Below are 24,371 nucleotides of genomic sequence, written 5' to 3' on the forward strand. Positions count from 1 at the left end.
AAGGACTACCACTCGCTGCGCGACTCGGAGATCAAGGCCAACAACCCGGCCGACCTGGGCAGCCTCACCAACCTGACGGACGAGGTGGTGCGCAGCAAGCTGCTGGTGTCGCTGGCGCTGCTGGGCTCGGAGCAGAGCGAGGCGGCGGGCGTGCTCTACCGCAAGCTCACGCACGTGACTCCATCATCCACAACTACGGGCTGCAGCTCAACGAGGGCCGCACGGGCGATGAGTTCCTGCTGCCGTTCACCATGTCCTCCAACCACCGCGCCTTCAGCTTCCACCAGAAGCAGGTGCTGTGCCAGGAGCTCACGCAGATCCAGAGCAGCCTGAACGGCGGCGGGGGCCACCTGCCTGGCCTGCCACAAGGTGCGTGCCCGCCCCGAGTTCTGCTCTGTACCCCAACCCTGCATCCCCAACTCTGTATGCGAAGCCTCCAGCCTGCACCGCGAGCCCCCACCCAGGCCTCCAAGCCTGCGCCGCGACCCCCCCACCCACGCCTCCAGCCTGCACCACGAGCCCCCAGCCCGTGTCCCAAGCCCCATCCTAAGCCTCTGTGTCGCATCCCAAATGTGTGCCCCACCTCTCCAAGCCTCCACCGTACATCCGAAGTCCCCACCCCGTGTCCCAAGCCCCCATCCTAAGCCCGCACTCCTCACCCTAAGTCTGCACTTCAAGCCCCAAGACCGCACCGCGGCCCTGAGCCCACACCCTCAGTCTCCTCTGCGTGCCCCAAAGCCTCCAGATCTCCGCCTCGCGCCCCTTGGGCAGGAGCGGCTGCAGGGGCCCTGGGTCCGAGGATCCGCGGGAGCGGTGCGGGAGACGTCCGCGGTCAGAGCTCACAGTCCCAAGTGCCCTCCTTTCACTTAGCCGGCTGCAAACGCGATAAGGCCTTTGTCCCCTTAATGGGACCCTTGGGTGACAGATAACACACATTGCGGCGCCTTGGTTTCCCCAAATCTGGTATTTATTACTAGAAAAGGAAGGAGCCGTGGCCATGCCAGAAGCCGCGGGTGAGGTGAACATTGCAAGGCACCGGCCTTCGCCTTCTGAGCTGCTCACTCCATACAGGTGGAGGCCCTGCTTGGGGCCTGTGTTGCTGGGGGCCTGCGCGCGGGACGTGGCTGTCCGTGTGAGCTCATTTATGGACACGTGCATGCTGTATGATGTACGCGTGTGTCGCATGTGGGTATGTATGTGTGCACACGTGTGTATTTATGAATGTGCACATGCCTGTGAGCGTTGTGTGTGATCGTTTTTAAGAGCCGGGCTACCTGTAACAGACAGAAAAAGACTCCTAGAGCCTTAAATGCCCATGAAACCTATTTATTGGCGACCCTTAGAAACAAAACCCAGGCTGACGTTTGAGTAGGAGGGCACTGGTGCCTTAAAGAATGTTAGGTTAGGTTAAAGATCTCCCGTCTCCAAATTGAACCGGAAGGGCATCCTGGCCATCCACTTAGCGATGTGAACTTTTGTCTAAGTGTTTCAGAACTGAAAACGCAAAGTGTTTGGGGCTCCAGCTATTTTGAACAGGCCCCTGCAATCCAGTGCCAAAATTTTGCTACCGGAAGAGATTACTTTGACCTGGTGTGATGTGTATTTAGATTACAAACTGATTATTTTTTTGGAAGGGAATAGGTTGCAGTCGGGACCAGTCTTGCTGAGTGCCTCTTTGCAGTGTCTTTAAGCTCTTTGAAGTTAAAACTTTGATAAGACTTTGCTTTTATGAGTGGCTGAGAACACCGTCTGGTTTGCTAGGTTTTTTGTGTGTGTTTTTAAAGCTGTCTTTCAATCCTAGGTTGTGGCTTTTCTTTTTTAATGTCTTCCTCTAAGAAGTGGTTGTGGTACATACATTGGTTTTTTTGTGTGTGACATTTATCTCCAAGACTATAGTTTTCTTTTTAAGTTCAGCTCCCACCCTACATTTCAGGCTGTGTGCTGCGCAGAGGGTCCTAGGAAATGTAGTTGTTTCTAGTAATCCATGTAAGCCTTGACATGCCAGCAAATTGTCGCCTATTCATGGAATCTCAGTCATTTATGGTCAGTTTCATGTGCTGTTTGTTACTCCTTTGTGTAGATTCCACCCACTAATAATTTCTATGGCTGTTGCTACAGTAAAGTCATCTCTTTAAGGGGATTCTTAATGTGTGAGCACGGGTGCATCACTTTATGCAGACAGTGGTGATTATTATTTTGGTTGGGCAGTGAGCTAAACCTGGAACAAAAATGTCTTTTATAGGAGAGCCTTTCTGTCAAGCAGAAATCCCTTTGACGAGATGAAGGAGCTAATCTATTCGTCTCAGCTCACCCCTGCACCGCCCCCCCTCCCCCCCAGCCCCAAGGCCATGGGCACTGAATTTACCAGCCGTGCAACCTTGGCCAGGATCCTTCTACCTCTCAGTGTTGTCCCTATTGCAGTGGAGGGGATGTAACCTACCTCACAGGCTTGTGTTGAGGATTACATAGGTAACATACGTGAGCTTCCAGCAGAGGTGCAGTAAATGCTGCTTTCTCCCTTATGGCCTCTCCGGCTTTTAACATTTATTTTTATAGAGGTATGCTAACTTAAAGCAAGACATGTTTTATAGATTGAATTATTTACATCTTGGCTATGAGCTTTTATGTGTTCTAAATTGGTTTTTGAATAGTTACTTGGAGCTGACAATTTTTTTGTTTCATCTTTGGAAAACTGGAAGATTCTGTGACCCTTAATGAGAGGATTATTATAAGGAGTAACCTTGGGCTGTCATTTCCGTATTTCAAAACAACCGTGGATTCTAGTTTTCCCTACATCCCTAGTGTCACTGCTAAGCTAATTTCAGCCCCATTCATTTAACTTTCGTTTCTGTGCTGCTTCAAAGCTAAGGCTGACGTTGATGAACCCTTTATTGCTTGGAGCAGGCAACTCAGATGAAATCTAGCATTTAAGTATTTTGCTTTCTTAGTTTCTAAATATTCCTGAAAAAGCAGCCCCATTAAAGCTGTCTGCATTCTTTTGTAAGCCTGTTGTATTTTGTTTTGAACTCTTTGAGCTTAGAGATTTTGTGTTTTTCTTTTAGAGATACAAATGTTAATTGCTTTTTAAATTCTTTATCCAATTTGAATTTTTATTTCTTGGCCTGGCAAGGTGGCTTACGCCTGTAGTCCCAGAAGTTTGGGAGGCCAAGATGGGCAGATCGCTTGAGCCCAGGAGTTCAACACCAGCCTGGGCAACACAGCAAAACCCTGTCTCTACAAAAAATACAAAAATTAGCCAGGAGTGGTGGCACACATTTGTAGTCCCTGCTACTGGGGAGGCTGAGGTGGGATGATTACCTGATCCCAGGAGGTAGAAGCTGTAGGTGAGGTATGATCATGCCACTGTACTCCAGCCTGGGTAACAGAATGAGACCCTGTCTCAAAAAATTTTTTTTAAATTTATTTTAACTGTATTTTCCGAAATAGTCATTATTTGCAATTCCTTATCCAAACCCTGTGTTTTTATTTAAAAATTCTTATTATTCTGAGGACTTCTAGAGGTGTAAAAGTAGGGGGAGTATAAAGTAGACATACCTGTGTTTTACTTTCAGAAAGAAAAATACTTCCAGTAGCCACACTGATGATAGGCTGAATTAGTTGTACTCTGCCTAGTGGCGGGTAATGCTGCTGCTTGCTGCTCCTGCAGTCGCCTGTTCCAGGGTGCCAACTGTGGGGGATAGTTGGCTTAGACTTTCCAATGCCTATTTTACGTAAATAAAAGACCATAGTTTTGGAAATAGTTAAATCCTTTGCAGTTTTTTCTTTTTGTCAGTGATAATAAATATGCTATGGTATGTGCACATGCTTATTCTTATTTTAAAAATAACAGCTTTATTGAAAGAGAATTCATATACTATATATACTTCACCCTTTTAAAGTGAAGTCAGTGGTTTTTAGTATAGTCACATAGCTGTGCAAGCACGACCACTGCCACTGAATGTTTCCATCACCCGAAAAAGAAACCCAGTGCCTATTAGCAGTCGCTCCCCATTCCCCCTCCCCCCAACGCTTGACCACCCCTTTTTGTCTCTATGGGTGTCTTTTTTGGACGTAGCATGTAAGGGGACCACACACCGTGTGGCCCTTTGTGACTGGCTTCCTTCACTCTGGTGATGTCAGGGCCCCTCCATGCTGTGGGTGTGTCAGCACTTCCTCCTCTTTCGCAACCGAGTGGCGTTCCCGTGTGAAGAGGCCAAGCTGTGCTCACGCGTTCTTCAGCGGGTGGACCTTGGGGTTGCTTCACATGCTTGCTTGTAGACTTTTGTCTTCATGGTTAATAGGCTCTTTATCTTCATCCCCGTGCACTGTGCCTAACACTTAGAGCATCCTCTGTGGACCGCTGGCGTACGTGTCGGTGCAGGGCTGTCCTGAGGGCTCCTGTTCCACCTGGTAGATTGCTAGGTGCGGTGTGCAGAGCTGTGTAGGTGTGGCCTCAGCCAGCCTGGGGAGCTGCAGGTGGAGGTGGCAGGGAACTCTGTGCTGTCAGTACAGAGCCTCTGGGCTGGTGCATTTGGTCAGCGACAGGTATGGGGGAGCAGGGCCTGGTGGGCAGGGGCCTGAGCTTCAGCTGTGAGGGCCCTGCTGTTTGTGTTTCAGCATCCTCAGGGTATGGATAATGAACTGCTTCATGGGGCTGATTTTTTTAAGGGGGTACTAAAAAAATGATGTTTTTAAAGTTTTTGGTGCAGGGGTGTGGTGGGGGTGGTGGTCTTCCTTTAGGGATATGTTCTGTGGAACAGTTCTGGAACTCTCTGTGGCTTGCATTGTGAGTACCTGAGGGTAAGCACTGTAGAAACTTCAGATAGACACAAATGCTGTGAATAAACCTGCTGAAAATGTCTGTCTAAAGATCAGCAACAGCTTTTGCTTTGTTGCTTTTTGTAAGCTGTTGAAAATCATTGCAGTTCAGAGGTGAAACATGGGATAGTTCATCGTCTGGTTATCAGGCAAAGTGGTTTCTCCCTTAGCCCTAAACTCTGGGCCGATTGCAGCCAAGAGTCATCTAGCATTCCATAAGAACAGACTCTCTCTGGAGCAGCTGTTGTCACTGATGGTTAAAGGAATAGCTGTGACCTAAAAGCACTGTTTTGTCTCCATCTTTAACACTCGTTCTCCTGGGCAGCTGGGAACCGCCTGGTCTATGAACTTGTCTGTGAACTAAGTCTTCTGGCTGTCTTTGTATACGTTGCTTTTTTTTTTATTGCATTACAGGAGATACAGGAAATAATATTCTAACTCATAGTGGATCTTTATTTTTATTTTTATTTTTTGGCCAGCTGTTACAGGTCTAAAACACTGTGCTGTTTCATAGTACAGTACAGTACATGATACGGGAATTGAGTCATGTGCTGCTTAAGGACACAGATACGTTCTGAGAAAAGCGTCCTCAGCTGATCTTGTTGTGTCAGCACCACAGTGTGTACTTGCACAAACATGGGTGGCAGAACCCGCTACACCCCTGGGCCACATTGTAGAGCCTGTTGCTCCTCGGCTATAAACCTGTGCAGTGTGTTACTGTACTGAATACTGTAGGCAGTTGTAACCCAGTGGTATTTGTGTATCTGAACACAGAATAGGTACAGTAAAAATGCATTATTAGAATCTTAGAGGATCCCTGGTCCGTGTGGTCTGTCAGTGGTGGAAGCATCCTTATGCAGTGCGTGACCGTGCTGGGATGCAGTTCTGATTGCTTTCTTGGTGGTAGTATTTTTGTTGATGCCATGATGGAGCTGCAGTAGCACTGCCATCTACTGTGTAATGGCTTGGATTATGTGGTACTTTAATTACTGTCCTTTGCCCTCACATTAAATGAAGGCCATTTACTTTGATATGAGCTAGTTCACACTTGCCTCATTTAGTTGAACACACATTTGAGTTTTGCTGTTTTCTACTGTGTTCTGGAGCACAGTTGTAGAAACTGGAAATTCTGTGTCATATTTGGGTATGATGAGTAATATGATGGTATCATTTGTTCAAGTGCGAAGATAATTGCAGATAAGCATCTGCGTTAGTCTTGTCACTGCAGGTGAAGCTTACCGTTTACTTAGGCTTTAGTTTACCCATTTTCTCTTTAGTCCTGTAAACTTCATCTACCTTTTGGTTTAACATGCTTTTCCAACAAATCTACATGAGTCTTAAAACTTCAGAGTCCAACTAGTAGAATAGAATAGTAAGAGGTACTTGCACTGGGGCATCTTTTTTTGTTGAATTGATGACGAAGAAATTTTTGTTATGCTAGGAAAAATTTCTACTTTAGTGTTCTCCCCCGCCCCCCACCTTAGAGGGATTAGATTTTAGAAAAAGATCCTTCTTTTTTTTTTTTTTTTTTTTTTTTTTGAAAAACTGCCAGTTGGAACAGTAGTTATCTTGTTAGTTTAAGTAAGAAGTGTAGCTGCAAGTTACTTAATTAGGGTACATTATTGAAGGGCTTTTGGTTTTGGACTTCAGTCTTAACATACTCAGTTTAGAAATTAGTTTTAGCAAGGTAATTTTTTTCTCCAGTCTCTGTAGATGTTTTTATTGTAGAGAGACCTGACACATTGTAGAAACATTTCCTGTCAAAGGTAAAAAGAGATCATCCAGAATGAACAAAATACGTTAATTCTTAGCAGTTTCTGTTTTGTTCTGGGTTAAAAGACCTGAAGCTACTTAAAGTGAGAAGACAGAAGCAAGACAGAATTGCTCTTCTAGCAGCCGTGTGTCATGTCTGATCAGAGCATGATTAAGCAGGACAGGATTTCACATGTGGGCCACAAAGCCCTGGACCTGGCCGCTCACCCTGAGAGGGGCACTGTGGACCCCACCCGCCATTCACTACCCAGCTTGCCAGTGGGGTGGGTGCTTTGCAGGCTCACAGAAAAATCACTCGCCCTTGAAATGTCTTATCTGGGCCTGGACACCTCCTTAGTTTCTCTTGTGTTTCCTTTCTGTGTAAGGCTGGTCCCTCACCGCTGGTTTGATCACAGCCCTCTGTTTCCTCAGGGTCACTGGTAGGTCAGCGTTTGAACTTTGTGATTTCTGTCTCCCTCCTTCAGTCCAGTCTTTGACCTCTAGCCTCACCTGACCCATAAACCATAATGGTTCTCTGATTTGTATTTTCAACAAAACCCCGCCTTTAACACCACTCACCTCTACCAGCCAACAAAACCCCGGCTTTAACACCACTCATCTCTACCAGCCCCTCTTCTCTTGGTCGCTTCACCACCGAGGCCTCCCTGAGCAGCTAGCAGAAAAGGCCTTCCATCCCGCTGGGTGGTGCTGGTCCCTGCGAATAGGTTGCTGTGTGTCTTTCCAGACGTGTTTGTGCACATATATGTTCATACGTTCTTTCAAGAAACCATACACATGCTTAGATACACGTAAGATCTTACATACACGCTGTTCTTCATGCTGTAACATGGCCACGCTTCGTGAAGTCACTCCTGCTGTCTCTAGTTCCTCACTTTCAGTTATTCCTCAGCCTCCTGTGACCTGCCTTTTGCCTTGAACCTCTTTGACAAAAACAATTTTTACAGAAAAGTATTCAGCAGGTCTCTTCAGTGAAGAAAGATTTTAAATCGGTAATGTAACCAGAGGTAGGAAATGGAAAAGTGCCAGAGGCTGCTGCATGGAAAGTCCCTTCTCCCACAGATGGCAGGGAAGGGCACCCAGGACGTTTTAAGGGTCAGGCAAGGTTCTCCTTTCCCTGGGTATTGATAACTTTTATTTCACATGTAAAAAACATGTTTCTTACCCTCTTCCCAGCCATCCAGTTCCCCTCTTTGCAGACAGCACACTTCCTCTTAGAACCTTCCAGATAAACCATATGTATTTACAAGTAGGTACCTGATGTCCCACTGCACACACAGGTGCCTCCTGGTCTTCTCTTGGCAGTCTTTCCAGATGAGGCTTCTCTGTCAGTCCATAAAGAGCTTGTTCAGTGGCACAAATGTGTTATTTAATCAGGCCCTGTTGATAACATTTTGTTCCATCGTATTATTACAAACCAGTGCAGTGTCATTTACATATTATATACATATCACCTACATGTTACAGACAACAGATGGGACCTTTCACATTCAGGTAAGTCTACCTGTGAAGTAGAAATCTGGAAGTGGAGTTGGGTCAAACGGTCTGTGCTTTTGTAATTATTTTACCTGTTGCCGAGATCTGCTTTTAGAATTCCCACAGCCATGTACAAGGCCTGTTTCCCTAACCTTTAACGAGCCCAGTGAGTTAGCCACTTGCTGGTTGCAGCCATTCAGTTAGGTGGAGACTTACCCTGGTGTGGTGTAGTTTTATCTTAGGAATGAGGTTGAATATTGTTTCAAGTAAACTATTTCATTGATATTTGGTGAGCTGTTTGTCTCCTTTGCTCATCTCTGTTGAGTTGTTGGTCTTTTCTTTTTTTAATTTTTACTTTATTTGAGACGGAGTCTCACTCTGTCACCCAGGCTGGAGTGCACTGGTGTGATCTCGGTTCACTGCAACCTTTGCCTCCCGGGTTCAAGCAATTCTCCTGCCTCAGCCACCCAAGTAGCTGGGATTACAGGCACGTGCCACCAAGCCTGGCTAATTTTTTTTTTTTTTTTTTTGTATTTTTAGTAGAGATGGGGTTTTGCCATGTTGACCAGGCTGGTCTCAAGCTCCTGACTTCAAGGGATCCACCCACCTCGGCCTCCCAAAGTGCTGGGATTCCAGGCGTGAGCCACTGCGCCTGGCTGGGTTCTTAGTTTTTAGAAACTCCATAAGTTTCAAGGAATCATCTTTAGTAGGAATTGCATGTATTTGTTTTCTGGGTTTTTAATCTTGTCTTTTGACTTTGCCATGCAATTATTTTCTTTTCTTTTTTTTTTTAATGCTATATTTATCAGTCCTTTTTGGTGTGGCTTCTGGGTTTCGTGTCATAATTCATAATGTATAATGCGTTTCTCATCATACGTATTGTACATATGCATGTATTGTGCATACATAATACACATGATGCCCCGTACATTCTAAAGACAGCCCCCTGCAGTGTCGCCTGGTATGGAACTTGTGTCATTCTCTTTTTATATCAGACGGATCCATCTGGAATTGATTTGGTATAAGGTACAAAGTTAGTTTTATATTTTCCAGATGACAGCCCATTTGTCCCAGTGCCATCTGTTAAATAGCCTCTGCTCTCCCTCCCAGATCTGAGCTGTCTCTCGTTTACTCCCACATCTATTTGGGTTCACTTCTGGACCCTGCGTTCTGCTTCATGGATGTCTCCATCCAGATGACCTCATGTTGGCCAGGTTCGTTGGATACTCTTGGTTTTGTTTCTTACCTCTCATTTGTTCTTGTGGGTTTCCTACACAGAGGAATCCCCAGGAAGGGTTTTTTTGGGGGGGGTTTGTTTGGAATAAATATGGCTGCGAGGCGCCTGCTCCGGATGGTGGCTTCTGCAGCCTGGGTGTGCCGGGCCGGCTGGGATCTCGCTGCCTCCGCCAGTTCTGGCACTGCTGGTTTTCCTCTTCTCTGGACATTTGTTTTCAGTTTCTCCTCTGCTTTCCTGCACTTTTGATGATATTATTCCTCAGACTTCTCTCCTTTTTCTTCTTTCTTTTTGCTTTATAATTCGTGACCTTTTTAGCTGTGGTTTTGCCAGTCTCACTGATGAGTCCAAAAAACCTAAAGGCTCAACCAGACCTCCAGCTGCCCCTGAAGGTTCCCAGTAGCTCAGTGTGGCAAAGGCGGGTTTCTGTCTTCCAACGTGCCATGGTTCCCATGTTTCCCCCAAAGTTTGCATCTTAGAAACTTAATCCCCAGTGCAGCAGTGTTGGGATGTGGGTAGGTCACGAGGGCTCTGCCACTGCCATTACAATGAGGTAATATCCTTGTCACCTGAGAGTGGTTTTTGTGAAGGCCGGTGTGGGGCTCCTCTTGCTGGCTTGCTCTCTGGCTCTCTCGCCCTTTCCCCTTCTGCCTTCCACCATGGGATGTCCCAGCAGGAAGGCCCTCAGCAGATGCAGGCTCTTACTGTTGGACTTTGCAGCCTCCAGAACTGTAAGAAATACATTTCTTTTCTTTATAAATTACCTGCTCTGTGGTATTCTGTTACAGGAACACAAAACAGACCAAGACACTAACCCTGACCTGCTCTGTCCTTCCCTTCTAATCCCCTCCAGCCAGAGGCCGAGGCCTGTCATAGAGATGCCCTTTTTTATCCCCTCCAGCTGGTTTATGACCAAGTCCTAAATATCTTTAGATTTGTCTCCAGTGACACCGTTACAGCCCCGGTTCAGTGTTCCCTCAGGGTTTCCCTTTCTTTCCCCCTGTACTTTCCTTTCTTCCTCTCCTTCCTTTCCCCTCCCACTTCCCCTTTCTCCCCCGTTTCTCTCCCTACCACACTTGCCATGGTGGTCACATACATGGCACACTTCTCTGGACGTAGGCTTAGATTTGAGGCAGTATGCCAGGGAAGCAGGACATAGATTAGAATAGTCTTCAGGAAACCAGCATGGCCCCAGCCTAGCCTAACTCCACTTTGCTTCTGATCAGAAATCCGTGTTAGAATGCAAGTCAGTTGATGTCATTGTGTAAAGTCTACAAGAAACAACTTCGTAGCTGCTCCATTTTATTTTCTGATTAAATAGTTTAGAAGCATTGGTACCTTAACTCTTTTTAGAAATAACACTAATGTGCCCAACTCTGATCATGACCTAGGTCTAGCCTCATTAACATTCTAGTCTCCTGGCCTGGGTCTGCCCACTGTAACCCTTTTTGGTCTCCCTGGCCTGGGTCTGCTTCCATAACCCCCTCTGGTCTCACTGGCCCCCTCTTAGTCTCTAACATCAGTTCCCTTGTGTCACTGGAATGGTCCTGGTCAAATGCATGCAGGAGCCTCATTTCTGGCTTACGGGTCTTAGCATGATGTGCCATGGCCTTTGTGATCTGCCCCCTGCCTGTCCGTACACACCTCTGTCTGTGGGCGCAGTTCCTCCTACTCACTGTGTTTTCTCTCTCCTGTGTCCTTGGAGAGGCTGTTTTCTCAGACTGGACACTGGTTACCTGTGATACCCCCATCCCCATTATTGGTTCGTAGATACCAGTCATTTTGTTGTTGCATCCTTATCCTAGACCTTATGTGCTGTGTTCTATTTCTGCCCAAGACTTTGACTTTGGCAGAGACTGACTTTTTAAATCACTAGAGCCTAGCAGTTCCTACCACCTACTAGGGGCTCACCTGTAGAGCATCTGTTAAACCTAGGGGCAGGAGGTGTTGGGTGGATGAAAAGCCGCCATAATACAAGTGCTTTTTTCCCTTTTGGTTTTTCTTTTCAATGGCCACAGTAGTAACTCCTGTTACCAACTCATACTTTTTATCTTTTTAATTTTTGCTTTTATCCAATGACTACCTCTCATATATTATGTAGCTGTAGATTCTGGTGAAGTTTAACTTGAATTTTAACATTTGTATTCTACTTTCTTATTTTTATTTATTTATTTTTTTGAGACACTGTCTCGCTCTGTCGCCCAGGCTGGAGTGCAGTGGCGCGATCTCGGCTCACTGCAAGCTCCGCCTCCCAGGTTCACGCCATTCTCCTGCCTCAGCCTCCCGAGTAGCTGGGACTACATGTGCCTGCCACCACGGCAGGCTAATTTTTTGTATTTTTAGTAGAGACAAGGTTTCACTGTATTAGCCAGGATGGTCTCGATCTCCTGACCTTGTGATCCGCCTGCCTCAGCCTCCCAAAGCGCTGGGATTACAGGCGTGAGCCACCGTGCCTGGCCCTACTTTCTTATTTTTAACTTTATATTTTTCAAAAGCTGGCATGCAAGGCAAGGTGTGCACTGGCTCACACCTGTAACCCCAGCACTTTGGGAGGCCAAGGCAGGTGGATCACTTGAGGCCAGGAGTTCAAGACCAGCCTGGCAACAGGGCAAAACCCCATCTCTATTTTTAAAAAAAAGAAAAAGAAGAAGAAAAAACTGGCCTACAAAAGCTTTCATTGGGAAAAACTCTCTGACATGAGAGTTGGGCTTTAGGTTACCTGGGTTGCATGCATACAAGGTTGTGAATGCGTTAGCTGAGAGCTAGGAAGAAGCTGCGTGGCATCATGATGCTTTGGTGGCCTCGTCTCCTGTGGAGGCATGTGTGTGGATGAGTTGATTTCCATGGAGTAACATTTTTAGTTCTGCATGTAAGTTTGTCTGGATTATATTTATTTAATGCTTTTAAAACTTTAAATCATGGTAAGCCTCGATGTTTTAGTTTGCTACGTAATGTCTGTTTTAGTTTGCTACATAGTGTCAATAAATTGAAAAAGTGTTACTCATTCTAATTAAGGTTTCATTTGTATTTCTTTTATACTTTCAACAGTGACATTAGATTAACTCTTAAGAAGGGAGCATTATGGAATCATTTGTTTAATTATTTGGGACATTTGCATAAAAGCATCAATAGAATTACCAGAAAGAAATTATATCCTTAGGTTTTTTTTTTTTTTTTTGAGACGGAGTCTCGCATTGTCACCCAGGCTAGAGTGCAATGGTGCAATCTCAGCTCACTGCAACCTCTGTCTCCCGGGTTCAAGCGACTCTCCTGCCTCAGCCTCCTGAGTAGCTGGGATTACAGGCACCTGCCACCACACCCGGCTAATTTTTGTATTTTTAGTAGAGACAGGGTTTCACCATGTTGGTCAGGGTGGTCTTGAACTCCTGACCTCAGGTGATCTGCTCGCCTCGGCCTCCCACAGTGCTGGGATTCCAGGTGTGAGGCACCACGCCCAGCCTATCCTTAGGTTTCTTACTGACTCTGATTAAAACATGTATATATAGGAACTAGTGCTAGAAGGATTATAGTCTAGACTTGAAAAAAGATTAAACTGTTTGAAATAGGAAGAGATTTAGTGTATGGGGAAGAGGAACAACCCTCACCCCTACTCTGTTTTGGGCATTTTAATAAAATTTAGAAGCCTGAGAATAATACTAACAACCTAGTTATTAGTAAAATTAGTAAAATTGGCCAGGCGCTATGGCTCACACCTGTAATCCCAGCACTTTGGGAGGCCGAGGCAGGCAGATCACAAAGTCAGGAATTTGAGTCCAGCCTGACCAATATGGTGAAACCCCATCTCTACTAAAAATACAAAAATTAGCCGCGCGTGGTGGCGGGCGCCTGTAATCCCAGCTACTCAGGAGGCTGAGGCAGGAGAATCGTTTGAACCCGGGAGGCAGAGGTTGCAGTGAGCCAAGATGGCGCCACTGCACTCCAACCTGGGCAACAGCAAGACTCCGTCTCAAAAAAAAAAAAAAAATTAGTAAAATTAATGAGATACTTTGAAAGCACGGAGTATTTAGGTTGTATGGGAAGGACTGTGTGGTGTGTAAACTCCACCCGGACACAAATAGATACTCACAGAACTTGCACGCCACCTCTGGGAGATTCTCCTGACTCCAGGTTCCTGGTAGAGTATCTTTCATATGTGAGAACTCAGGCTATTTTCCAGTCGGTTCCTGCCTTCACTGCACCCCGACTCCCGGGCCTTTTTTCTATTCTTTTCCTCGATTCTGTTTCTTTTCCACCACTGATCAGTTTCGCCTATTCTAAAACTTCATTTAAGCAGAATCATGGAATTCCTGTTGGCTGCGTGATTTTAGTGGCTGGTCTAGGGATGACAGTGTAGATTCTGAACTTTCCACATTGCATTGTGCCACACGTCGTGCAGTGTGTCATTTCTCAAAGCACTTATATGTGTGGGTTGTTTTTTAAATAGGTGGAAGGCTTTTAAACCAGCATACCATTAATATTGTATTGAGGAAGTTAATTTATCAATGTTATTTTTCCTTTTACAATTGCTAATAAAGATATGAGGTGAGGAGCAGCAGGCTACAGAGAGGAGTGATGCCTGGGGGCGTGTCAGTGTTTTAGGCACCTGCAGTGATCGGCAGCAGACTTGGGAGCAATGCGGTGGAGGCGTGTCATTGTTCCCCAGGTGTGATGCGATGAGGGGCAGCAGGCTCGGGGATGCGGTGGAGGCATGTCGGTGTTACCCAGGTGTGATGTGGTGAGGGGCAGCAGTCTCAGGGGGATGCGGTGGGGGCGTGTCGGTGTTACCTAGGTGTGATGGGGTGAGGGGCAGCAGGCTCAGGGGGATGCGATGGAGGCGTGTCATTGTTCCCCAGGTGTGATGCGGTGAGGGGCAGCAGGCTCAGGGGGATGCGGTGGGGGCATGTCGGTGTTACCCAGGTGTGATGCGGTGAGGGGCAGCAGGCTCAGGGGGATGCGGTGGGGGCGTGTCAGTGTTCTGCAGGTGTGTGCGGTGAGGGGCAGCAGGCTCAGGGGGATGCGGTGGGGGCATGTCGGTGTTCCCCAGGTGTGATGCGGTGAGGGGCAGCAGGCTCAGGGGGATGCGGTGGGGGCGTGTCAGTGTTCTTCAGGTGTGTGCGGTGAGGGGCAGCAGACTCAGGGGAGCCATGTGGTGGAGGCATGTGAGTGTTCCCCAGGTGTGTGTGGTGAGGGGCAGCAGGCTGCAGGGGGATGCGGTGGGGGTGTGTCGGTGTTCCCCAGGTGCAGGAGGCTGCTCTGAGGGTGTCGCATGTATTTCATTTAATCCTCATAACAGCTCCATGAGTTAGGTTCTATTTTTGTCCCCATTTTAGCAATAAGAAAACAGACACAGAGAGGTTAAGTATAAATAATTTGACAAAGATGACATCAGTGAGTGGCTATTTTTATTATGTGAAGTTAAAATTGTTTATGTGTTGACTTCATCATTTAAAGTGAGAGGAAGAACCTGAGGAATATGAAATGAGACGAGGAAGAGAGCCCCAGACTCTGCGGCTGGTAGAAGTAGGGAGTGTGACCTCATCCCCGGCTTCTTCCAGCTCTGCTGATGCCCGGGGCTGCCCCAAGTGCGCGGCCGGCCCTGGGCGGGATCCATGTTCTTGGTGACAAAGCTCCTCTCCCTGCCTTCGCCCCAGCGGCTCGTTTTTATTCATTCAGCACAGAGTGTGTAACTGATAGTCCTCAGTACCGCAGTCTAATATTTTGTTGGGGTTCCTTTTTTTCTTTTCATTTAAGGGTAAAACCTACATTTAGTGAAATGCACATATTTTAAGTGTGTCATCTGAGTGTTTTCACCAGTTCAGTTTTTTTTGGTTTAGTTTTTTTTTTTTTTTGAGATGGAGTCTCGCTCTGTCAGGCTAGAGTGCAATGCAGCGATCTTGGCTCACTGCAACCTCTGCCTCCCAGGTTCAAGCAATTCTCCTGCGTCAGCCTCCTGAGTAGCTGGGATTAGAGGCACGCACCACCATGCCCTGCTAATCTTTGTATTTTTATTAGAGACAAGGTTTCACCGTGTTGGTCAGGCTGGTCTCAAACTCCTGACCTTGTGATCTGCCCTCCTCAGCCTCGCAAAGTGCTGGGATTACAGGCGTGAGCCACTATGCCCGGCCACCACTTCAGTTTTGACAGAAGCAATAAGCCTTGAAGGGGTTTTGTGCGGTATGACCATTGCCCAGAGAATTCCCTCCCACCATTTTCCAGTCAGTTCCCACCTTCTCCCACCCCCAACCCCCAGGCCTTAAAAACTCTTTCTCCCTCTGTTCTGTTTCTTTTCCACCATTGATTAGTTTTGCCATTTCTAAAACTTCATTTAAGCAGATTCATGGAATTCCATTTTTTATCTGTTGGCTTCCTTTGTTGCATGATTTTAGTGGCTGGTCTGGAGATGACACTGTAGATACTGAACTTTCCACAGTCTGCTTAGAGTTAATACTGTACCCCGCCTTGTGCAGTGTAAGAAGCTGGTCACTGTCTTGCAACCAGGTGCCTTCCCGGTCCTTGCTGTGGCAAGTGTACATATTACATCTATGCTATAGACATCACAATATATATAGTATTGTTGTTTGCTTCAGTATGAATGTACCTTTAAAAAAATTACGAGGAAAATATTGTCTTTTATATATACTCACATATTTACCTTTTTTCCCCCAACCCCTAAGAGTGGGGGGACTCTTGCCTCACCTCCCTCTTCTCTCACTCCTTGTGCCCACTGCCCCCTTGGTGTCCTCTCTGGTTGACTCCAGCTGCCCCTCCCTCCACAGGGCCTGCAGCGTCTCCAGGTCCCTGACCCTTGGGTGGCATCCCCTGCCTCTTCCTCAGGGCCCTGCAAACCTCTCCTCTCATTTCACCAGGAGCTCCTTTTCTTCCCATATTTGTGTAAATGAATTCACATATTTTGACTTAATTGTCTCAGAATGGCCCAATTTGGAGTTGGACTTTTCTGATGCTCATAAAATTCAGGAGGTGGTTTTTAATCAGTTAGTTCTGCTACGGCTGCCTCCTCAGAGAAGGGAACAGTTTCTTGTTCTTCTATTTTTTGTTTTTTAATGTTGTTGCTGAGGACAATTTAATTTGATCTCTGAATCATCCATGTATCCATCCATGCACCACCCCCACACCCATCCTATCCACACACCCCCATACCCATCCTATCCACCCACCCACCATCCCCCATCCTATCCACCCACCCATCATCCACTATCCTATCCACCCACCTGTCTATCCACCATCCACCACTCCCACACCCATCCTATCCACCCACCTACCCATCCACCCACCCACCTATCCTATTCATCCACCCACCCACCCTGTCTATCCACCCACCCACCCACTCACCTATCCTATTCATCCATCCACCCACCCACCCACCCAATCTATCCACCCACCTGCCCACCCTATCTATCCACCCACCCACCCTATCTATCCACCCACCCACCCTATCTATCCACCCATCCACACACCCACCCACACTATCCATCCACCCACCCACCCACCCACCCTATTCACCCACCCCCCACCCACACTATTCATCCCCCCACCCACACTATCCACCCACCCACCAATTCTATCCATCTACCCATCCATTCTACCTATCCACCCACTCCACCCGTCCATCCATTTATCCATCCTTCCATTCATGCACCCACTCATCCGTCATCCATCCCTGCTTCCATCGTTTCATCCACACATCCATCCATCCATCCATCCATCCATTCTTGTGTTGGGTGCTCCATCTTAAAGTTATCAGAAGTGTTTCTGTCCGAAACTGCAGTTGCAGTGGAGAGGTTTTCAGCCCAAGCTTTTTATTCTTTTTGGACTCCCAGTAGACACTGATGAGTTTTCAGGGTCAAAGAGGAACATTTTAACAATGGTGTTAGCTGATCATTTTTTGTTTGTTTTTTATTTTGAGACAGAGTCTCGCTCTGTCTCCCAGGCTGGAGTGCAATGGCACAATCTCGGCTCATTGCAACCTCCGCTTCCTGGGTTCAGACGATTCTCCTGCCTCAGCCTCCCGAGTAGCTGGGATTACAGGCGCCCACCACCGCACCCAGCTAATTTTTGTATTTTTAGTAGAGACAGGATTTCACCATGGTGGCCAGGATGGCTTCGAACTCCTGACCTTAGGTGATCCGCCCGCTTCAGCCTCCCAAAGTGCTGGGATGACAGGCATGAGCCACCGCCCCTGGCCTGATAATTTTCTTTCTTTCATGATTGGCTCGTTCATGCTCTAAACTTAAGACTGGTCGAGGAAGTAGTACGTCTCTGTATTTTCAGTTGCTAGCACTAGTAGCCTACCAGGACTTTGGAGTTTATGAATATCTGTTTAGCAGACGGTTGATCTGGGCAAAACTTTTGTAGGCAGTGATAATTTTTCCTTTTCTTGAAATATGTTTAGAAAATGGAAATCCTATTTGAAAGCATGTTTCTTACATAGAAGGAAGTAATCTAGTTTTGTGCTACATGCGTTCCTTTTTCTAATGTAGCTTATGATGCATGATTGCTCCTTCATCACCTATCTCCCAAAGACTAAATACTTTCTATTTTGCTGAATGTCTAAGGATATTTGAGATGCTTATGAGGAGGTCTTTTCTGGCATGAGGTTTGACCTAACAGCGCTGCAGAGAATATATGGTAATTGTTACGGTTTTAGCATGACCAAAGAGAATTTTCTTTTTTCTTTCTTTTTTTTTTTGAGATGGAGTCTCGTTGCCCAGGCTGGAGTGCAGTGGCGTGATCTCAGCTCACTGCAACCTCTGCCGCCTGGGTTCAAGTGGTTCTCCTAACTCAGCCTCCCGAGTAGCTGGGACTACAGGCGCCCACCACCACGCCCAGATAATATTTTGTATTTTTGGTAAAGATGGGGTTTCACCGTGTTAGCCAGGATGGTCTCGATCTCCTGACCTCTTGATCCGCCCACCTCGGCCTCCCAAAGTGCTGGGATTACAGGTATGAGCCACCATGCCTGGCTGACCAAAGAGAATTTTCTCTGCATCTGAAGCATATAACTGCAAACCGATTTGTTTGTGGTTGTTAAATAAAGAGGACCAATCTTTTGTTTGTTTATATGCACTGTTTCCTTTCTCGCCCTAGTTGCATGAGAAACAGAAGCTTCTTAGATTGATCAGTTGCCTCCTTTTGTTGCATTTGAGCGTTGAGAACAAGGACCATGAGTTTTCTCCTCCATTGTGGTTTTAGTTCTAACATCTGGCACATAGTATTTAGTAAAGATTTGTGGAATAAGTGAGATAGGGTATTGGGGAAGATCATAAGAAAAACAAAAGATGAATTATTTATTTATAAATTTATTGTTAGGTCTATTCCAAAACTGACTTAGAAAGACAAAATTCTTTCCTGCTATAAAATATTTGTAAGAACTGTGTTGGGTTGGAGTTTGGGATTCACTTTTCCCATTGCAGATGCTTAAAAACCTCAGACTTTTCTTGTTGGGTTTCTTTTTGGGGAGGACTTTATTAGGGATACCATTTATAGTAGAAATTTGGAAGACTGTAAAAACCACTTAATATTCCCGAAAGATGGAAGGTTGTTTCTGGAAGCTGTTAGGTTTTGTTAAGGCAGAGATAATACATTTTCTTTTCTTTTTTGAGACGGAGTCTTTCGCCCAGACTGGAGTGCAGTGGTGTGATCTCGGCTCACTGCAACCTCTGCCTCCTAGGTTCAAGCGATTCTCCTGCCTCAGCCTCCCCAAGTAGCCAGGACTATAGGCGTGTGCCACCGTGCCCAGCTACTTTTTGTGTTTAGTGGAGACAGGGTTTCACCACGTTGGCCAGGCTGGTCTCGAACTTCTGACCTCACGTGATCCCCCCGCCTTGGCCTCCCAAAGTGCTGTGATTACAGGTGTGAGCCACCATGCCTGGCCAGTAATACATCTTTAGAGAGATCATTTTCCTTGGAACATAACTGAAAATGGTAGGATGAAAAGATGTGTAAAATGTAACTGAAGGTGGAAAAATCTTGCTCTGAATCTCTCACTTTCGTTTGAGTTAAATATTATTTTTATTCTTGAAGGAAGTTCTGGGAGTTTGTAGAAGTAGCCAGAAAATATCTTTAGAATATAGTGCTCTATGCAATATCCTGAGCCTTTTTTTTCTTTTTTTCTTTTTTTTTTTTTGAGACAAGAGTCTCTCGCTCTGTCGCCCAGGCTGAAGTGCAATGGTGCGATCTCAGCTCACTACAAGCTCCATCTCCTGGGTTCACGCCATTCTCCTGCCTCAGCCTCCTGAGTAGCTGGGACTACAGGCGCACACCACCACACCCAGCTAATTTTTGTTGTATTTTTTAGTAGAGACAGGATTTCTCCATGTTAGCCAGGATGATCTCGATCTCCTGACCTCATGATCCACCTGCCTCGGCCTCCCAAAGCGCTGGGATTACAGGCGTGAGCCACCGTGCCTGGCCTATCCTGAGACATTTTTGACAGTGCTGCAAACTATTACTATTTTTTCAGGTAGAAATATTTTATTTTATGTTGGAGATGGGATCTCGCTTTGTTGCCAAGGTTGGTCTTGAACTCCTGGCTTCAAGTGGTCCTTCTGGCTTGGCCTCTCAAAATGCTGGGATTACAAGGCATGAACCACAGTGCCTGGCCTGGAAATAATTTTTACTATAGATTCTTTCCTCTTTAAATTAATATTATGGGTTATGAAGCTCCTTTTGTATAATAATATCCAATATATGTTGTCAACCAGGGTATTGCTTTGCTTTTTCTTTAAAAAGGAGAAAACATGTAAGGTAGAGGAAGTGTAGTTTACTCTTAGGCATTCAGACAGTTTTTATTATTGGTGTCGTAGAAAACCCCAGACCATTTGCTGAGACCAAAAACTGTATATTTAAAATTTTAACACTTAATTTTTCTCCTGTGGCTTGTGTGAAGTTTTTAGGTGTAAAGCGTGAACAAGTAAGAGATTCATTTAACAAAACATTATTTTAGGAAACAAATATGAAAAAGCATTAAAACCATTCTTTTTTCTCTCCTAGCATTTTTGAAACATTGGGGTTGTTGGAGTGGTTGGATTTTCCCTGGAATTGAGTGAGAAATTCAGAAGACTGAAGCCCAGGCTTACTGTCTACCTTTCACGGAGGCCTAGCCGTGAGAGGACAGAAGAAGGCATGTGGCGAATCATGACAGCAGACAAAGACAAAGAGAAGGACCGGGACTGAGACTGGGACTGAGAGAGAGAGAAAAGAGACAAAGCAAGAGAGAGTGAGAATTCAAGGCCACGCCGGAGCTGTACCTTGGAAGGAGGAGCCAAAAATTATGCTGAGAGTGATCACAGTGAAGACGAGGACAATGACAACAATAGTGCCACCACAGAGGAGTCCACGAAGAAGAACAAGAAGAAACCACCGAAGAAAACGTCTCGTTATGAAAGGACAGATACCGGCGAGATAACATCCTACATCACTGAAGATGATGTTGTCTACAGACCAGGAGGTAAGGAGCCTTACATTTGGGTCTTGCCAGTGTTTACAATGGGGGAATGATCTTAGCATTAAGGTGAAATAAATACACTTTGTACACTTTAAGGAAGGCTTGGAATCTAGAAGAGTAGGAAACTTAATTTGGTAAACATGTGACCCACTTTTGGTCAGTTAGGTTTACCCACTTCTTGCTTGTGTCTGCCTTAATTTGGTCTTGTGTCCTGGTTTATGCATTCATGAGTTCTTTTCTTATTTTCCTATGCTGCTTGTTCTCTAACTTGACCATCTGCTTAGTATTTTTTTGTCTTTTGAATTCATGCTTGGTTTTTAATCTTCAATCATAAATGAGACTGTGGTGACCCTGCAGAATTGACTGCTTGGTGGAGACAAGTAAACCTTAAGATTCTTGGAAACAGGAAATTTTACCTTGGGACAGGATCGACCAGACTCTAGAGAGGTACTTTTTAAAAATGGCCTTTAGGCCAGGCATGGTAGCTCACACCTGCAATTCTAGCACTTTGGGAGGCTGAGGTGGGTGGATGACCTGAGGTCAGGAGTTCGAGACCAGCCTGACCAACATGATGAAACCCTGTCTCTACTAAAAATACAAAAATTAGCTGGGCTCGGTGGTGTGCACCTCTAATCCCAGCTACTTGGGAGGCTGAGACAGGAGAATTGCTTGAACCCAGGAGTTGGAGGTTGCAGTGAGCCGAAATCGCGCCACTGCGCTCCAGCCTGGGCGACAGAGCGAGTCTCTGTCTCAAAAAAGAAAAAAAAAAAGGCCTGAAGATCAGAGATTTATTGCTCCTGCTAACTTCCTTTTCCAAAAATTTGAGCTTCAGGCTCTCTAATCAACGATAATAGAAGAAGTCATCTAACCTGCTTGGTTTTCCGGAAAATGTATTATGGTCATGCCAGTATATTGTGGCTTACAGCATTGCTCAAAAAAAGACAGACTCAACTTTTAGATGAGATCAGGGAAACAAGTGAGTCAAAACCTGTTGAACACTAGCAAAGCCTTTCCTTTTCATTTGATGTATTGTGTGTATTAAGACACCTTTTTTAGGCTGGGCACAGTGTAATCCCAGCACTTTGGGAGGCGGAGACAGAAGGATTGCTTGAGCCCAGGAGTTCAAGACCAGCCTGGGTAACATGGTGAGACCTCATCTCTACAAAAAATTTTTACAAATTAGCTGGGCCTGGTGGCATACACCTGTAGTCCTAGCTACTCAGGAGGCTGAGGCAGGAGCATCACTTGAGTCTGGGAGGTCGAGGCTGTAGTGAGCCATGATTGCACCACTGCATTCTAGCCTGGGCGACAGAGCAAGACCCTGTCTCAAAAGAAAAAAAAAAAAAAAAAACAAGATATTTTCTTACAGAAGCCAGTAAAACCTAGGTGAAATCATTTTGTTTGAGTTACTTTTACTGTTGAAGAGTGACATGAATTTCATATGAGATGTAATTAGCAGATTAAAGCTGCCCATTTTTATGTTTTTCTGAGAAAGAGATTAAAATGCTTTACTGTGTTATGTCCATAATCTGGAACAATCATTTTACTGAGGAATGCTGTTACTGTTCTGAACTTCACATCAAGTTCCAGATTTTCATTCTCCCACACAGGAGTTTTTTAAATTTCAAAAGATGTCAGTGGGGCTGAGCGCAGTGGCTCATGACTGTAATCCCAGCACTTTGAGAGGCTGAGGTGGCGGGAGGATTGCTTGAGCAATGTGGAGACCTGCCTGGGCAACATAGTGAGACCGTATCTCTACAAAACAGTAAAAAATTAGCTGGGAGTGTGATGAGACTGTAGTCCCGGCTACTCAGGAGGCTGAGGTAGAAGAATCTCTTGAGCTCAGGAGGGCAAGGCTGCAGTAAGCCCCATTCACATTATAGCACTCCAGCCTGTGCAGCAGAGCAAAACCCTATCTCCACCCCTCTCCCCCCCACACACAAAAAAGTCAGTGCTAGAACTTAATACAGACAAATTTGCATTCACAACTACAATTTCTTGGTTGAAGATTAACTGAGAAGGTATTCGTGTGATATAAATTGATCAGAGTGGAGGTTTTAGAGCAGTTAAAAATCTGCTGTGAGGATTAAATGATGTGTGTAGGTTACAGTACTGTCTGTATTTATCTTTGATTTAGACTCAGCTATTGGGCAGTAAGAATTTCTTAGTGACTGAAGAATCAGAGTTACCACAGATTGCTTGTTTAGGGCGTATGCACATCTAAATCATGGGAAAGGAACAAAATATGTTAACTCTTTTTTTTTATTATTATACTTTAAGTTTTAGGGTACATGTGCACAATGTGCAGGTTTGTTACATATGTATCCATGTGCCATGTTGGTATGCTGCACCCATTAACTCGTCATTTAGCATTAGGTAGATCAGCACTTTGGGAGGCCGAGGCAGGGGGATAGCTTCAGCCCAAGAGTTTGAGACTAGCCTGGGCAACATAGTGAGGCCCTGTCTATGCAAAATGAATGAATGAATGAGGCATTATGGTCACTCTTACTAGATTTGATTGACTGTGCCTTTACTTTTCAATAAATAATACATAGACTTTCCTGACCTAAGCTTTATGATGATCTCAGGTTGTGATATGGGGGTAGGAGGAGGTTAACTCTCTCTATAGCCACTGCTTTCCTTAAAATCATTGCTTTTTATTTAAGTGTCTTAACATGGCATTTTAAAAAGCAACCTTGGCCAAGCATGGTGGCTCATGCCTGTAATCCTGACACTTTGGGTGGCTGAGGTGGGAGGATTGCTTGAGCCCAGGAGTTGGAGACCAGCCAAAAAAAAAAAAAAAAAGCAATGCTTTACACTCCAGTCATTGAGAGAATCAAAAATTATTTTCCAACCACTGCCATGTCAAATGTAATTTAAGAAAGCACCCTTCTTCCCTGAAGAAAATGCAGTTTGGTTTACTTTATTCCATCTCTGATTAGTGGCATTGGTTTTGTTTACAATTAGAAAATAAAATGTGTTTAGAGTACAATTTAATGGCAAATTGTCTATAAGAGATTAGTTTTCTTTCTCTTTTTGATTAGCTGAAAAGGTCATTGTAGTAGCATGTTCAAGCTAGTCATCTTTGCGTATTTAATTTATTTCCTCACAAAATATTTATTACAAATATAGTAGCACGTTTCTCTTTTTTGAAGACATGTGAGCATCTATCTGAATAAGATACTCAAGATTTCATCTTGATGTGTGATCTTGAGCAAGCGGTTTCTTTTATCTAAATGTCTTCATCTGAATATAGATAATCCCTTGGAATCCTCCCCTTCTTCAGGGACTCTGAAGAAAATAATTTAGGCTTCATCAGATTCTTTAAATTATTAGAAAAATAATCAGAAAGAACCAAAGGGCTGTTTTCCTTTAGCCTAAAGATGTTTGCAATTTAATATCATCTTTTGGAAAAAAATTTACAATAAAAGATATATGCTTTGTCATTTATGCAGTGGCTTTATGGGCCCTGTCTTTGTTCCTTAAAGGTAAATTCCATTGTGTTAAAATTTCTTTTTCTTTTAAAGACTGTGTGTATATCGAGAGTTGGAGGCCAAACACACTGTATTTCATCTGTAGCATTCAAGACTTCAAACTGGTAAGCATTTT

The 24,371-nt window shown here is 45.2% G+C and overlaps 1 pseudogene across 1 annotated transcript; it reads left to right on the plus strand.

The window, feature by feature from the left end:
• Window positions 1-104: 104 nt before the first annotated feature.
• REREP3 (arginine-glutamic acid dipeptide repeats pseudogene 3) lies at window positions 105-24,371 on the plus strand (annotated as a pseudogene). The gene is made up of 3 exons (NR_033735.1): window positions 105-369; window positions 20,309-20,765; window positions 24,290-24,371. The product of NR_033735.1 is annotated as an arginine-glutamic acid dipeptide repeats pseudogene 3 (transcript).

Source organism: Homo sapiens, chromosome 15 (genome assembly GCF_000001405.40).
Source record: "Homo sapiens chromosome 15, GRCh38.p14 Primary Assembly".
NCBI lineage: Eukaryota > Metazoa > Chordata > Mammalia > Primates > Hominidae > Homo > Homo sapiens.